The following is a 15,987-nucleotide window of genomic DNA, read 5'->3' as shown; positions in this document are numbered from 1 at the left end:
CAGCTGGGTGATAGAGAATTTCATTAGTTTGTTTCTAAAGAAATACTAGAAAACAGATTGAATTAGAAAAAATTGGAAGTGGAAAGAGGATTTTTCTAGAGTTGACATTTTTACAGGAATCTAAGCATTGGTATCTAGGGGGGAGAAAGCCCAGAGTAATAATTTATTTAACTGTTGCAAATTGGAATGATGCTAATTAGATTTCATGTGTTGCTCATGATGTTTATTGCTGAAACATCCATTACCCTGCTGATTCTGGCAGTGAAATAAACATTAGAATTTTTCAACAGCTGTAGTGTAAAATTTTAGAAATTGGACTATGAGTAGCACAATTGGGGTTTACTGTTTTGGATTACCAAAGTGTTTAGCCTTTGCCGTTCAGGGTGATTGTGTGGAAGCGGACACTGCGTGGGTGGAAGTCAAGGCAGACGCTTCCCTGTGGCGCTGGAACAAGGCGGCTGCTCTGCAGGGGGCTGTGAGCATCCCTCCTCGTGAAGCCATGGGTGGCTATTAGGTAATGCAGCAGCTGTTGCAAATAAGAGCCAGGGTGTCCTGGTGACTGCCGCACCTTGCCCCTTGTAGGAAATGCTGCTGCCTCTGAGCAGGGCTCAGGGGCTGTGAGCAGTGATCGGCAGCAGCGGGGCTGTGCGGCCTGAGCTCCTGATTCCTCGGACCCACGTGCACACCTGGAGAACGGCGCACGCTTCACCTCCTGAGCACCAAGGCCCCTCCTTCGTGAGACTTACCCCATTCGTGTGAGCCCCGGGAAGAAGGAGGCATTTTCAGATGTTTTTAGAGAGAGGGCTCCTGGAGCGCTAATCAGAGCCGTCTATGTTTGAGGATGTTGTTACGGATGCACTCATTTTTCAGGATGAAAGTCCACGCTTTGCTCACACAGCAGTCCCTGATGGTTCTCCCTCTGTTCAGGGCCTTCATTACCATGTCTGGCACGACCTTGATGCAAATGAAACATTTCCAAGAACAAGGAGCTATAACAGAAACTCAGATGTTGCATTTATAATGATTCCCACTTCGGCTTTTTGACTTTAGAGTGCAAGGAAAAATGTGCAATTTCTTACTTGGGCAAAAACAAAACAAAATAAACAACTAATGCAAATCCATACCAGAGTCTGTTACTGTGAGGTAGAGGGCTCTTAAAGGAAACAATCTAACTCTAAAACTGGAACAAACCAGAGCAGCTGCCCTGAAGAATCAAGGTGGTTTCCACCCAAGCTCCACCTGACGCTTGTGAATGGAGAAGCCAACACCCCTGAGCACAGACCTGCTCTCAGGGAGGGATTTTACCTTCATCTGCACAAAGCACCCTGCCCCTGCATAGATCCATGGGGGCTCATTGGCACTAAATAGAAAAATAGATCCCTTCTGCCTCGTTCTGGTTCACACCCATGTAGCCACAGAGCTGGCAAGAAGAATAAAATAAAGTTTTAATCTATTCCATTCTCAATCTTACTGCATTTACATTTATTAATCAACTCCATTACTAAGTATACACTCCAACGTTTGCAAAATTCTGACTACATTATCTACTCTACAATGTCCAGAAGTTAGTTCATTAAAATCTGAATTTAAATTCTATGTCCATTTAGAAACTATTTGTATTGTATTCTTCTGTAATTGGTTAAGCTTCATGAGTATAAACGCAGGAATATGGATTTTTCAATGAACGTTAAATAATCTTGTTGATTAAATTAAAGTCAAAGTAATGTTTGCTTAGAAATTAAAGGATTATATTTCATTAGTATTTAATTTACTTAGTTTTAATTCCTGGCTTGTCATGAAGATGGCAAAAGCTGATGTGTTCCCTTGTTTCCTATACTATACTATGGAACATGGAATATGTGTGTGTGGGGGGGTGTTTGTGTGTGTGTGCACACAAACACAAGATACGTATACACATTTAAGTTTAAAAACAATTCCCTTGGATAAATACTAGGTACTCAAAGAAAACTCATTTAAAGTTTAGGCAAATCTAAGTGTACTGGATTTTTATTGCGCTTTGCTGAGTATAGTCTAGCTGTTGACTGTATACTGTTTTGTTGTGTCTGCAACAGTTTCATTTGCATGCACTTCAGTAGTTAGTTTCCTAGACAAGTAATCTCCAGATAAGTGCATCACGACCCCTCTCTCCAAAAACATCTGAAAATGCCTCATTCTTCACAGAGCCTACTAATTGTCACTTTAAATTGGAGAAGGGGGCTGAACATTGATTACACTATGGTGAGAAGGGTCAGGTCTGCCAAATGTGGGTCTCAAGGAAGTAACCTGCACATTTTCAAAAACAGCCTTCAGGAATGGCAGGCTTTGCGTGCTGGTGCACTGAATACATGGCTGGGTCCCTAAGCTGAAAGTGCCGAGGCTGCCTGGGTGGAACGCTCAGCTCTGCCACTTCTGAGTTCAGAAAATTAGGCAAATTATTTCATCTCACTTGGCTTCAGTTTTGTCATTTTAAAATTCTGAATAATGACAGCAGAACCCAATTTCTAGATTTAAAAGGCATAATTTATATAAGGTGCTATGAAATGAGTCAGCCCATAATCAGAGTTGGCTAGTTCTAACACTTACTACAATTATTACATCAACTCTCTTTCTGTGTGGTCCTGAGAGGTCACTTGTCCTGGGAGTGTGAGTTTCTTCATCTGTAGAACAGGGAGGTTGATTAGCCAATCTTAGGATTTTATGATCCTCTTCCTGTTAGACAATTGTCTGGAAATAGGGTCCTGTCCCTCCTCCTCCACACTCTCCCATGCTGTGTGCAGGCAGATGTGACCCCTAGCTGCATGAGGGCAGGCCTGGCCCCATGGCAGCATTATCCGCTTTGCCGGGGAAAGGAGGACATCACAGATGATCCCAAGCTGTGTCCTGAAGAAACACAAAACTAAAGATTTTGCATGTGCATCTAGGAGGAAGTTTCACACTGGAATCAATTCCTTGTTCCTGAGATTCCCTTCCTCATGCATCTTTTTCTGTGGGGGTAGATGATATGGTTTGGCTTCGTCCCACCCAAATCTTATTTTGAATTCCCACATGTTGCGGGAGGCACACAGTGGGAGGTAATTGAATCATGGGGGCAGGTCTTTCCCATGCTGTTCTTGTGATTGTGAAAAAGTTTCATGAGATCTGATGACTTTATAAGGAGGATTTTCCCTCCATAAACTCTCTCTCTCTCTGCCTGCTGCCATCCATGTAAGACATGACTTGCTCCTCCTTGACTTCCACCCTGATTGTAAGGCCTCCTCAGCCACTTGTAACTATAAGTCCATTAAACCTCTTTCTTTTGTAAATTGCCCAGTCTCAGGTATGTCTTTATTAGCAGTGTGAAAATGGACTAATACAGTAGAGAATTAGTGAGAAACTCAACTGAGAAAAAAAAACCTACAGAGAAGCAGAATCCAGAGTTATTCACACAAGGCCCAGGACATGGGGCATGTGTGGCATTCTCCTGGCTGCTCTTGCTCATAGGTAGAGGTGGATGGAAACTCCACGCACATCACCCACCCCATCTCCTGCCACCTGTCCCTAAAGCCTCCCTTGCCCTCTCCCTCCCCGCCCCTCCCCATATGCAGTGCTTTCCCAGGCTCTCCGGCAGCCCTGCTCACTTCCTCAGTGGCTGGTCTGCCAGTCATCAGCTGAGAGCAGACCCTCCATTCACCTGGTTTCCTGTACTATGCTGTACCATGGAACATGCAATATATGTGTGTGTGTGTGTTTGTGTGTGTGTATGCACAAATATCAGATACCCCACACAGTTCAATTTAAAGAAGATTATTTCTTTTGATAAATACTACACATTAAAAGAAAACTCATATAAAGGGTATTCAAATTTAGGTTCACTAGATTAATTGTTATTTACCAGGTTAATTAGCTATTATAGCCTGGAACCACACAAAGGGGTCAGCATCCTGCTCCCCAACCTTCCAAGCAGGTGTGAAGGGATCCGTGGGGAGATTCCTGCCAGGTTTCCTAACTGGTGAGGTGGGGGTGGGGCGAGGGGCAGAGAACGGCTTCCCAACAGACAGCCAGGCACCTGGGGGACCGCCAGGTGGGAGTCTGTGCTCACAAAGAAGACATTCCAGGTTGGCCTCAGCAACACTCATAGCTCCCTCCCCGCAGCCTGCACACCCTCGCTCAGGACACCTGGATGTTGTAGGATTCTCTCACCAGCCACCAGCCAGGGCCTTTGTAGCTGCTTCGGGTGCTCCCGAAGCACCTACACGCTCCCACCCTGCTACAGACGCCTGCGGTTAGAAAGCCCTGGGCATCTGTTCAGCAGAGGGTCCTGCCAGGCTCCCCTCATTCAGAGGGGACAGAATTCTCCTCCTGACAGACTTTCTTTTTTTTTCCTTTTTGGGAGGGAGTCTCCCTCTGTCTCCCAGGCTGGAGTGCAGTGGCGCGATCTCGGCTCACTGCAAGCTCCGCCTCCCGGGTTCAGGCCATTCTCCTGCCTCAGCCTCCTGAGTAGCTGGGACTACAGGTGCCCGCCACCACGCCCGGCTAATTTTTTGTAATTTTTAGTAGAGACGGGGTTTCACCATGTTAGCCAGGATGGTCTCGATCTCCTGATCTCGTGATCCGCTCGCCTCGGCCTCCCAAAGTGCTGGGATTACAGGGGTGAGCCACCGTGCCCAGCCGACAGATTTTGTTTCTATCATCATGTGGGGAGCGAACATGGATCTCTTCCTGCCTGAAGTGGGCACAACGATATTGACCCTTTGTGGGATTCCAGGCCTTTCAGCGACTCCTGAACCCAGAGGAAGGAAGCCAGGGAAAGGAATGCTATGGGGAGAGGGTGGAGAAGGCAGAGAGCAAAGGCAGGCTGTAGGGACAGGTGGTCAGGTGAAAGCCCAAACCATGCAGCGGTGAGTGGACGTTAGGGACTAGAAATAGTGCTCTCAGGGTTCACTGTGCCATGGGGAGGTGTGTATTTCACCATACCCTGTGCCCGAGAGGCTACAGAGCGGGTCCGTTCAGCTGTCCTTGTACCCACATGGGACCCCCACCACTGCAACACCAGAGGCCCGGGGCCTGCCCTCCTTGTTTGGAGGTTCTGATTTCCCCAGGATCTTGGTGAGTTTTCTTGGGCCACAGTTAATACCCTCAGAACTCTTGTCCTCACCTTCTCTCCAGCAGTTTCGTCGGACTGACAACGGTGAGTGCCTTAGGATGCAGCTCAGAACCCCTTCCCCGCGGGAGGATCTGAGCGCCTCCAGCCTTCGCTCACTGCCTCTATAGCCCTGAACTCCACTTTTATCTCCCCAGACCTAGGAAACTGTCAACAGTTTCTAAGCATTCTGCTCGGTCTCTCTGACCTTCAATACTGAACAAGCAGCAAATACGTGCAGGGAGAACGCTGACCCAATTCAACGCATTTCCCTTCTCCCTGGATTCTTGGCCCTTCCATTCCTGGCCTTTGTGATCACTCTCTGACACCGGCAAGTAGCTGCTTTTTGTTTTTTATCTGGCATTTATATTTATTTTTCGTGGTGGTGGTGAGGGGGCTTCTTGGTGCGATAAAGATGTTTCTGACCTCTGAAAACTGCACAAGAATGTGAAGAGCTGCGGGTCTAACTTCTCACCAAGCAGCTGCAGGACTCCTGTTATCTCTAATAGGGGACGTTTGACACTCACAGGAAGAATTAACTCATTCTTACAGACCGAGCCTGATTTTTTAAAAATCAGTTTTTAGGCCGGGCATGGTGGCTCACGCCTGTAATCCCAGCACTTTGGGAGGCCGAGGCGAGCGAATCACGAGGTCAGGAAATCGAGACCATCCTGGCTAACACGATGAAATCCCGTCTCTACTAAAAATACCAAAAAAATTAGCCAGGCGTGGTGGCGGGCGCCTGTAGTCCCAGCTACTTGGGAGGCTGAGGCAGGAGAATGGCGTGAACCCAGGAGGCGGAGCTTGCAGTGAGCTGAGATTGCACCACTGCACTCCAGCCTGGGCGACAGATCCAGACACCGTCTCAAAAAAATAAAATAAAATAAATAAATAAAAAATAATAATAGTAATAATAATAATAATAATAAATAAAAATCAGTTTTTAAAAAAATCAAAGTAAAATTTACCCAACATAAAATTAACCATTTTAACATGTACAGTTCAGTGGCATTTACTACATTCATGGTGCTGGGCAACCATTACCTCTATTTAGTTCCAAAACATGGTTATCAGCTTACAAGGAAACTCCATACACATAAAGCCATCCCTCCCTTTGCCTCTTCCTCAGCCTTGGGAAACCACTAGCCTGCCCCTTGTCTCTATGCATTTACCTATTCTGCATATTTCATGTAAAGGGGCCATACAGTACCTGGCTTTTTCATAAAACATCATGTTTCTGAGGTTCATCTACATTGTATCAGTACTTCATTCTTTTGTTTTTATTTATTATTATTATTATTATTATTATTATTATTATTATTATTATTATTTTGGAGACAGAGTCTTACTTTGTTGCCCAGGCTGGAGTGCAGTGGCGTGATCTCAGCTCACTGCAACTTCCACCTCCCAGGTTCAAGCGATCCTCCTGCCTCAGCCTCCCTAGTAGCTGGGAATACAGGTACACACCACTGCGCCCAGCTAATTTTTTTTTGTATTTTTGGTACAGACGATGTATGGCCATGTTGGCCTGGCTGGTCTGGAACGCCTGACCTTAGGTGGTCCAGCCACCTCGGCTTCCCGATGTGCTGGGAATACAGGTGTGAGCCACTGCACCTGGCCCAACACTTCATTCTTTTTAAATGACTGAAGAATATTTCATTTTGCCAATGTACCACACTTTGTTCACTTATTCATCAGTGGATAAGTTTGGGTTGTTTCCACCTTTTGGCTATTGTGAATAGTATAATCAGTATAACTTTTACATCCACATGTATAACGATTATATGTTAGGTGAATGTCAGTCTCTGATACAAACAACTGGAGCTTATTTTCATGCACAACCCATTCTTATTACAAAAGTTCTTGAGAGGGCTGAGCGCGGTGGCTCACGCCTGTAATCCCAGCACTTTGGGAGGCTGAGGCAGGCAGATCACTTGAGGTCAGGAGATCGAGACCAGTCTGGCCAACATGATAAAACCCCATTTCTACTAAAAATAGAAAAAATTAGCTAGGCATGGTGGTGGGTGCCTGTAATCCAAACTACTCCAGAGATGGAGGCAGGATAATTGCTTGAACCTAGGAAGCAGCGGTTGCAGTGAGCCAAGATCGTGCCACTGCTCTCCAGCCTGGGTGACAGAGTGAGACTTTGTCTCAAAAAAATAAACAAAACAAACAAAAACAACAAAAAACTACAAAGTTCTGGATGGTGTATCCACATCGCTCAGGGAGGGACAGGACTTTGTCTTCTCTCTGATGCACTCTGGGCCCCAAAAGCAGCAGAGAGGGTGACGCTGGGTCTGAGGCCCAGGTCCAGATCCCACCCTCCCTGCAGCTCATGAAAACAGGGAGTCAGCCATCACACCCTCCAGCCCTGTGTGTGCCTCGTTCCTATGGACATCCTAGAAGCTCAGCCCTGTGACATTGAAGAAAGTCCTCAGACTGCACAGTGGGTTGGTGCTCAGCACCCTTTATTTATCACTGGAGATAGGCAATTACATTTCTGCTTGTGGGAAAAAACGAATGACAGCAGGACTGGGGGCCTACAAATGCTTGAGGAAGTAAACCCTCTCTGTCCACAAAGGCTTCACTGTACTTTTCTAGCCTTTCTATTCAATTCTTCACCTTAGGAATTTGAAAATGTAATAGTCTATCTCATGGTAATTTCTGAAACAGTTGTCTTCATCTTTTAGAGATAAATATGCAGGATCATGATCAAAACATCTCCTGAGGCCTCCTTGGTGCCATGCATTATACTGATGACATGGAATAATCCATTTAATCCTCACCACAGCCCTGTGCGGGAGGTCCTGTTTTGATTCTGATTTACAGGTGAGAACACTGAGGCACTGAAAGACAGACACAGAGGGAGCCAGGCTAGTACGCAGCAGAGCTGGACTTAAACGCAGACTGCCTGGCTCCTGGTTCCCTGCTTGCAACTGTTAGCAGCCATCTGCTCATGTGGCTATCAAAAATGAGTTCTCAAACAATATTTGGCATCCAATTTCCAATCCCCATTTTATAATTTTGCATGAAAAAAATTTATGTTACTATGATGAATTACTGAGATGAAGTTCTGATGCACTTTGTTCATGTTTAATTGCTTTGGAAACTGACTTTTTAAGCACCTGGAAGGAATCAGTGTCAAGTTAGTTTTGAAATGAACAGATACTGCCTCTTCTGATGAATCAGGAATAATCACCAGGTAGGAGTGTAATCTCACTGCAACTTGTTTGAGTGGTTCACGGACTTTACATCCTAATTTGGATCCTAATTTGCATCCTACCTTTAAAGTTCTGGAATGTCAATGGACAGCTGCATGAATAATTTTGTTTACAAATTAAGATGCAAATATTGGAAGAGAGAATAAAGCTATTCTGGAGTATATGTCAGGAGTGGGCACTGTTTTCTCAACTGTAAATTTTCACCACTTTCTTTTTAATTTGCTGTTCGATTTGTTTTACAGTTTTCTTGTCTTTCTTCATAGACTTGATGGGTTAAAATAATAAAATAATAAAAAACATTAGCATCTGAGAAACTAGAATTTTAATTGTGTGATTCTTTAGGATGGTGTCTCAAACAGCTTTTCTTACAGTTTTAAGTTTGGTCTACATAATAGAAGCATTTTAAAACATCAAGCAAGTCATAGTTGTTTTGGCTTACTGCTTATTCAATTAAAAAGAAATAGAAAGACTAACAGTGCTTATTGGTTTCCAAACCACCAACCCCCATTTAAAAAAATATCAATCTTCATATTTCCCTGAGTCAATTTTTTCTTTTAACCATTAGTATGAGCTAATCCTTATTCAGCATAAAACTAGGCATTATGTTAAGAACTTGCATTTCATAGTCACCACAAAATGGCCTAAAATTAGTATTTATTCCATTTTGTAAATGAGCAACCTGAGGTGTAAAAAGATGCAATAACCTGCCCAAGGTCCTTCAGCTAGCGCATTTTAGACCTGGGATTTTACACTGGGTTGCCAGAACTAGAGGCCTAGCGACCTTCCAAGCCCATCTCCTTACCTCCCGGGCCTCAGTTTGGCTATTCCTTGTCTTTAGAACAAATAAGAGCATTCTATAACTAAATAATTAGCAAAACAAGTCTTTTTCTTGGAAAATGCCTTTTAACCTACTATTAATCCACTTGTTAAATTTTTACTACATTCAAGGCAAAGAAGTGTAAAATATAATCCCTGCCCTCAAGGAGCTTACAGGGATTGCAATGAGAAGTTGTAACATAATGGGAAAACTATGTCAAATGGTAGTTCGAACACTGCAACACAGTTCTGATGCTTACCACCTGGAGTTAGCTACAGGTGCCACAGATTTAAGGGACTGACCTTCCTTCAGACACCAGCCATACTTCTGGTGTCCCCAGTCCTCTTGCACTGCTGAACAACTGGCTAGAAATGTGGGCATCACCATGACCCTTTCGAGTTTGATAATTTGCTAGAACAACTCAAAGGACTCAGGAAATACTTATGCTTAGTTTTATTATAAGTAATAAAAATTGGGACCTGCCAAGGAAGAAACACATTTGGCAAAGTCTGGGAGGGTCCACACACAGAGACTCCATACCCCTCCGTGCGGAATCTGAACCTGTCATCCTCTCAGGATATCCACATGTTTACCAGCCAGGAAGCTTCCCTGAGCTTCGGCGCCCCCAGTTGTTACTGAGACTGTGTCACAAAGGCAGGATTGACTTAATCATTGGCCACATATTTTAACTGAATCTCTAGCCCCACCCCTCAGAGATTGGAGGTCAAACTTAACATCTGGTGTCTCAAAGCCCGACTCTCCAATCACTTGGCTGCTCTTTTTGGCACAGCTTACCTTTTTCTTAAGCACAAATTCAGGTGTGATCCGAGGAGCTCATGAATAACAATGACACTCCTATTACTCAGGAATTCCCAAGAGTTTGAGAGTCTTCCAGGGGCCAGGGACAAAGGCCAGTCTAATTCTTCATTACACAACAGGTGACCCTGTGGCTTTTGACTATGGTTCTTTTATATGTCTAAAATGTGGAGGAGCTACTGTAGAGTACGAATAAAAAGCTTTTAACTCAATTTCCCAGTATATTTGACTGTCATTACCAGTATTATAATTTTACCGATTATGCCAGTGTTTGACCATATTTCAATATGGTAAAATAATCTGAAAAATAAGAGTAACAAATATTGACATATTACTAGAATCTCATTCAGTCATTAATAATTAGTCCAGCCCATCATCATATGGTGTAACCAAAATGTCTCCCAGGGTGACATCACTCACGTTCGCAGCTTCTGTTCAATTCTCTCAAGTTCCACAAGCAGGAGTGCTTTCAGCAATATATGGCTTCACTCTTTCCAGCATCTGGAATCGCTGAGCTAAGAGACAATATCATCTCTTGCCTTCAGCCCCTCTTAAAGTATTAATATAATATTGAATTTTCCTCATTGTGTAACCCAGACATTCATTGTTATAATCTACTAGTGTTTCTTCTTCTCACCAGTTATGAGTTTCTAAGCTTTTCCACATTTAGAAAGCACATTAGGTTCAGCCATTGTGCTGGTCTAGATTCCTGGCAGCAATACAAGTTTAGCGAGTGCCTTCCACTCAGTGGACTCCCATTCATATAGGATGAGGTACAGAACTAGGGGGCGTGTCAACCACTAAGCAATACATCTGCATTTCCTGTCAACCTCAGTCTTGCCAGATGGGGTAAAGACACAATCTACCCCATCTGGTCCTTAGGAAGCACAGTTACAGCTTTTACTTAGGAATTATCCCTCCTTCTGGTATTTTGCAGCCCTGGGCCCGAGACCACCATAGCAGGTAGGTAAAAGAAATTTGAGGTGATGTGGGGAAGAAAGAAAGCTGTAATCACAACTCCTTTGTAAGAAGAATTGTATACTCATCACAACATTTGCCCTACCTCTTCCTTAGGACCCTCAGAAAAGTGGAGGAATCTATCTAGTGGGACCACCCGCTTGGCGCCCTCATTTTGAATGTGAGCACACACTCAAGAAAACATATAAGGCAGCCCTTCATGCCTATTTTTATCCCCATTTTAGATGACCAAATTTTTTATTTTATTTTATTTTACTTTTTTTTGAGATGGAGTTTTGTTCTTGTTACCCAGGCTGGAGTGCAACGGCACGATCTTGGCTCACTGCAACATCTGCCTCCCAGGTTCAAGCGATTCTCCTGCCTCAGCCTCCGGAGTAGCTGGGATTACAAGCATGTGCCACCACACCTAGCTAATTTTTTTTTTTTTTTTTTGAGATAGAGTCTCACTCTGTTGCCCAGGCTGAAGTGCAGAGTGGCTCCATCTCGGCTCACTGCAAGCTCCACCTCCCGGGTTCATGCCATTCTCCTGCCTCAACGTCCGGAGTAGCTGGGACTTCAGGTGCCCGCCACCAAGCCTGGCTAATTTTTTTGTATTTTTGGTAGAGACGGGGTTTCACTGTGTTAGCCAGGATGGTTTCGATCTCTTGACCTCGTGATCCTCCCGCCTCTGCCTCCCAAAATGCTGGGATTACAGGCTTGAGCCACCGTGCCCAGCCCTAATTTTGTATTTTTCGTAGAGACGGGGTTTCTCCATGTTGGTCAGGCTGGTCTCGAACTCCCGACCTCAGGTGATCCGCCTGCTTTGGCCTCCCAAAGTACCAGGATTATAGGCATGAGCCACCGCACCCAGCCGATGACCAATGTTTTAATTGTCCATTTCAATTCTCTATCAAACCATTACTGTTAGGACAAAAGTGTTTCCTGAACTAAGAAAATATGACTTGTTCATTCAAATTGGTGCAGAATAATCTGTTCCGTTGTCTCTGATCATTTGCATCTGTTTCTTGGTAAGCAAAGCCAAGTCTCGAGCAAGTGTCTCGTTCCTGTCTATACCCCTTCGTCCACCCCCCAGGACTAATGTCATGCATTCGGCTTACAGGGCCTTCCTCCCAGCTTCTCTGCTCCATAGCCATCTATAGTCTGTGTCTCTCTTGTTAACAAAAAGAAGAATCTTTACGAGCATTTTGTGCCTCAGAAGGTACAAAGGAATAAATGTAATTCAGCCCATCTCTGGGCTGCTGCAGCCTCACAATATTCACTCATTACGTGAACCCAGTGGCCATCTCAAGCGAGCACACCAGGATATCCTCTTGCTGGCTCCAAGTACCTCCTAATCCTAGAAGGGGGGTTTCTGATAGGCATTGGCATGTCCCACTTCAATGCACCCCTCAAATTCCTGTAATCATTTCCACAAGGCAAGCCCTCCATAGGCCAGTTTTCCATTGCCCTCTGCATAACCCCCAGGTGGTCCCAAAGTCCATCCTAGGGGAAAAAGAGTCGCTCTGCCTGTGAACACGCTGGATAAATTTACATTGACCTGTGCTATGATCTGGATGTCCCTTGAAGTTCATATGTTGACATTTAATCCCCATTGTGGTGGTATTAAGAGGTGGGACCTTTTAGAAAGTGGCTAAGTCATGAGAGCTTTGTCCTCAAGAATGGACTAGCATCTTATAAAAGGGCTGGGTGTCTAGGCACAGTGGCTCACACCTGTAATCCCAGCACTTTAGGAGGCCGAGGCGGGCGGATCACAAGGTCAGGGGATGGAGACCAACCTGGCTAACACAGTGAAACCCTGCCTCTACAAAAATACAAAAAAATTAGCCAGGCATGGTGGCGGGTGCCTGTAGTCCCAGCTACTTGGGAGGCTGAGGCAGGAGAATGGTGTGAACCCAGGAGGCGGAGCTTGCAGTGAGCCAAAATCATGTCACTGCACTCCGGCCTGGGCAACAGAGTGAGACTCAAAAACAAAACAGAACAAAAAGGACTGGGGGGATCTAGCTGAGGCCTTTGGTCTTTCACCTTCTGCCATGTGTGGACACCTAGATGCCACCAACTATGAGGAATGGGTCCTCACCTGGCACAAACTCCACTAGCCTTGATCTTAGACTTCCTGGTCCACAGAACTGTGAAAAATCATTTCCACGAGGCAAAGCCGCAAAGGCCCATTCTGTTCTTTATAAATTACCCAGTCTCAGGTAGTTTGTTATAGCAGCAGAAAGGGACTAAAACACCCTGGTAGCATGTCCCCATAAACCAATTCCATTTGACTACGAAAATTTTCTGTTTATTGTCCTTCCTATTAAAGCCTTTCTTCACTATCACTCAAGCCATGATCATATTTTAGGTTTCAAGATTAATTTGTGTCCTTCAGTTATAGAGTCCATTTCAATTAAAGTCTGATCACAAGCTAGTAATTGCCACTCAAACGGCAAGGGGTTCAGCTATGGGACTCTGGCCCCTCCATAAACTTTATCTTGATTAATCTGCCTGACCATTGTCCAGGTGATTCCAGGCTGGGTTCCTCATTGGAATCTTTGTTTTCTGGCCTTTAAAATTACTCCAAACTGACACAAATAGACTTGTGTAGGGCCCTGTAATGGGGAAACCGGCCAAAGGGGGATCAGCAATGGTTCCTGTTGGTCCCTGCAACCTTCCATAGCACTGCATTCAGACCTTTGTTTCAACACCATTAACGTTTACTTTATTTATTCAATTTGTTGTCATCTAAAGTTTTCCACCCTGCTAAAATGAATCTCTTGATTCTCTTCTCTCTCCATTTTCTTGTTAATTATGTTTTGTTGTTGTTGTGTGTATCTCTAAGACACATAAGGGGAAGCAGAGATAGCAAATCCATAGGGCTCTTTGGACTGTTGCTTGATTTTGCAGCAATAAAGCTACACTGAGTGATTATACAAAGGGGGCCCCTTAACCATAGCATTAACCATGCCCTGCATAAGGGAAACAAACAGTGGATGAATATCCTGAGCATCATAAAGCCAATCCAGCATGGCTTGCACACAAAACATACCAGCCCCTTCACCTGGGATGTTCCAATGGGCATTTATAGGGGAAATAGGATAGTCCTCCTCATGGTAAACAACTTTATACTGTCTTTTATTTAGCCTCGTAGGCTAATTGTTCCCTAGGGAATAACCTGCTATGTGTCTGGATCATGTGTGGTGATCTATGATTGTTCCATAGTGAGCTGTGGATCTTGTATCAACCCAAACATGCTTTTCTATTCTGCAGTATTCAAAAACCAAAGAAACTTGACTCTGAATTAATTACTCCTACATTTATTTCAGTAAAGGTTCTTCCATAAACTGTTGATATAACTTCGTCATGCTGCACCCCTGGTTTCAGTAGTTTCTTGATTTTTCCTGTCTTACCTGGACTCTTTTTTCGATGACCAGATGTTTCAGAGCATATTGCAGCATATTTTTTCCCTTCGAGGATGGCTTTGAGACTAGTGGCCATATCTCAGACTGACCAAAATCTGAGGTTGGTGTCAGCACCCTTTTTTTCTCTCAGTTTAGCTATTATAACAAGAACCAAGGGATTATATATTTCACTTTTTCCTTTTTTTTTTTTTTTTTGCACTTCCCTGTACATCCAATAGATCAACTCTTTAGAAGCTGGTCTATCACTATTTCTGAATTCCATTGGCTGGGTCTATCACTGTTTCTCAATTCCATTGGCTGGGTCTATCACTATTTCCGAATTCCATGGGTGGCTTTTACCTTTAGAAACTGATCACAACGCAGATGCAATTTTATATCGGGGTGACCCTGTGGCCCCCCAGAAATCAAAGTTTCCTCATTGTTGGCCTTTTAATTTAATTCTTCCTCTTTCCAAACCCATTGTTTCAGGGTTGTTCTAGTGAGTCTCACATTTTCTGGCACAAATGGTAAGGAGAAGTAAACATTTCTCTATGGAGAAATCACTATGGGGGCATAAAAGCCAGCTTCCTGGAGAAGTAGCATTTAACCCGAGATTTGCAGCATTCCATCTACATAAATGTGAGGAAAGGTCCCTTTAGGTATGAGCTAAAGGGTCAGGACTCGCAGATAAGAAGCATATGTGAAGGTCCATACAGAGGGATATTTGGCTGTGGGTAGCAGCAGGCAGTAGATGTGACTGGGAGGATGTCAGGGGAAGGGGAGCACGTGGAAGATGACATTGGATAACATTGAAAAGAAATACATTTTAAAATTTACTCAAGGGAACATGGTATTAAATCAAGTTTCATCTAAAGCTGCCTCCTTACATATTTAAGTTTGGCCTAAAGGTTTTTCTGTACATTGTGAACTGTAACAAGTGAAGTGTAAGCAGAATGTAGCCTACCCTAGTGCCAATCAACGAGTTTTGGCCAATCAAATGTAGCCAACTGTTCGAGCCATGTTCAAATAAGGTAAATGCCAAGCTGTAACCAATCCGGCTGTTTCTGTGCCTCACTTCCATTTTCTGTACTTCACTTTCCTTTTTCTGTCCATAAATCTTCTTCCAACATGTGGCTGAGCTGGAGTCTGGGAGCCTAGTCTGGCTGGGAAGGCTGCCTAATTTTGAGAATCATTCAATGCTCAATTAAACTCCTTCAAATTTAATTTGGCTGAAGTTTTTCTTTTACTAGTGGGGAGCCATTGAATAATTTTATCTGGGGGAAAGGCATGATAGGAAAATCTCTTTCAAAATAAAATGAGTGCTAGCTCGCTGCTAACCACATGTTTACTGAGGTTCATCACTCTGCACACCTGCTCCTCTGGGTTTCCTCACTACTTTCAGAATTCCAGCCCTTACCCGACATGCTGGGGCCACCAACTTACTCGTTTGCCTGTTCTCTTCGACACTGAGGTCATCAAATACTATGTAAGATTCAAGCTTTGTAACCTCAATGCTTCTACCCATTTTGATACTAGATATATATTTATCACATGATTATATTAAATATAGACCAAGACCCTAAAACATTCCTAACCCTAAGATACTCCATGTTTGGGTAAATAGCATCCAAAAATACCACTAGCTGTCCTAAG

The 15,987-nt window shown here is 44.0% G+C and overlaps 1 long non-coding RNA gene across 1 annotated transcript; it reads right to left on the bottom strand.

Moving 5' to 3' along the window:
- Positions 1 to 336: 336 nt before the first annotated feature.
- On the bottom strand, positions 337 to 3,960 carry LOC105379451 (uncharacterized). The gene is made up of 5 exons (XR_950691.2): positions 3,872 to 3,960; positions 2,584 to 2,880; positions 1,306 to 1,420; positions 747 to 954; positions 337 to 526 (listed from the first exon to the last, which is right to left on the bottom strand). It is a non-coding gene; the product is annotated as an uncharacterized LOC105379451 (long non-coding RNA).
- Positions 3,961 to 15,987: the final 12,027 nt, after the last annotated feature.

The sequence above is a fragment of the Homo sapiens genome, chromosome 9 (assembly GCF_000001405.40).
Source record: "Homo sapiens chromosome 9, GRCh38.p14 Primary Assembly".
Taxonomy (NCBI): domain Eukaryota; kingdom Metazoa; phylum Chordata; class Mammalia; order Primates; family Hominidae; genus Homo; species Homo sapiens.
Note: the sequence above shows the minus strand (reverse complement) of the source record. Positions and strands in the feature narration are given on the sequence as shown.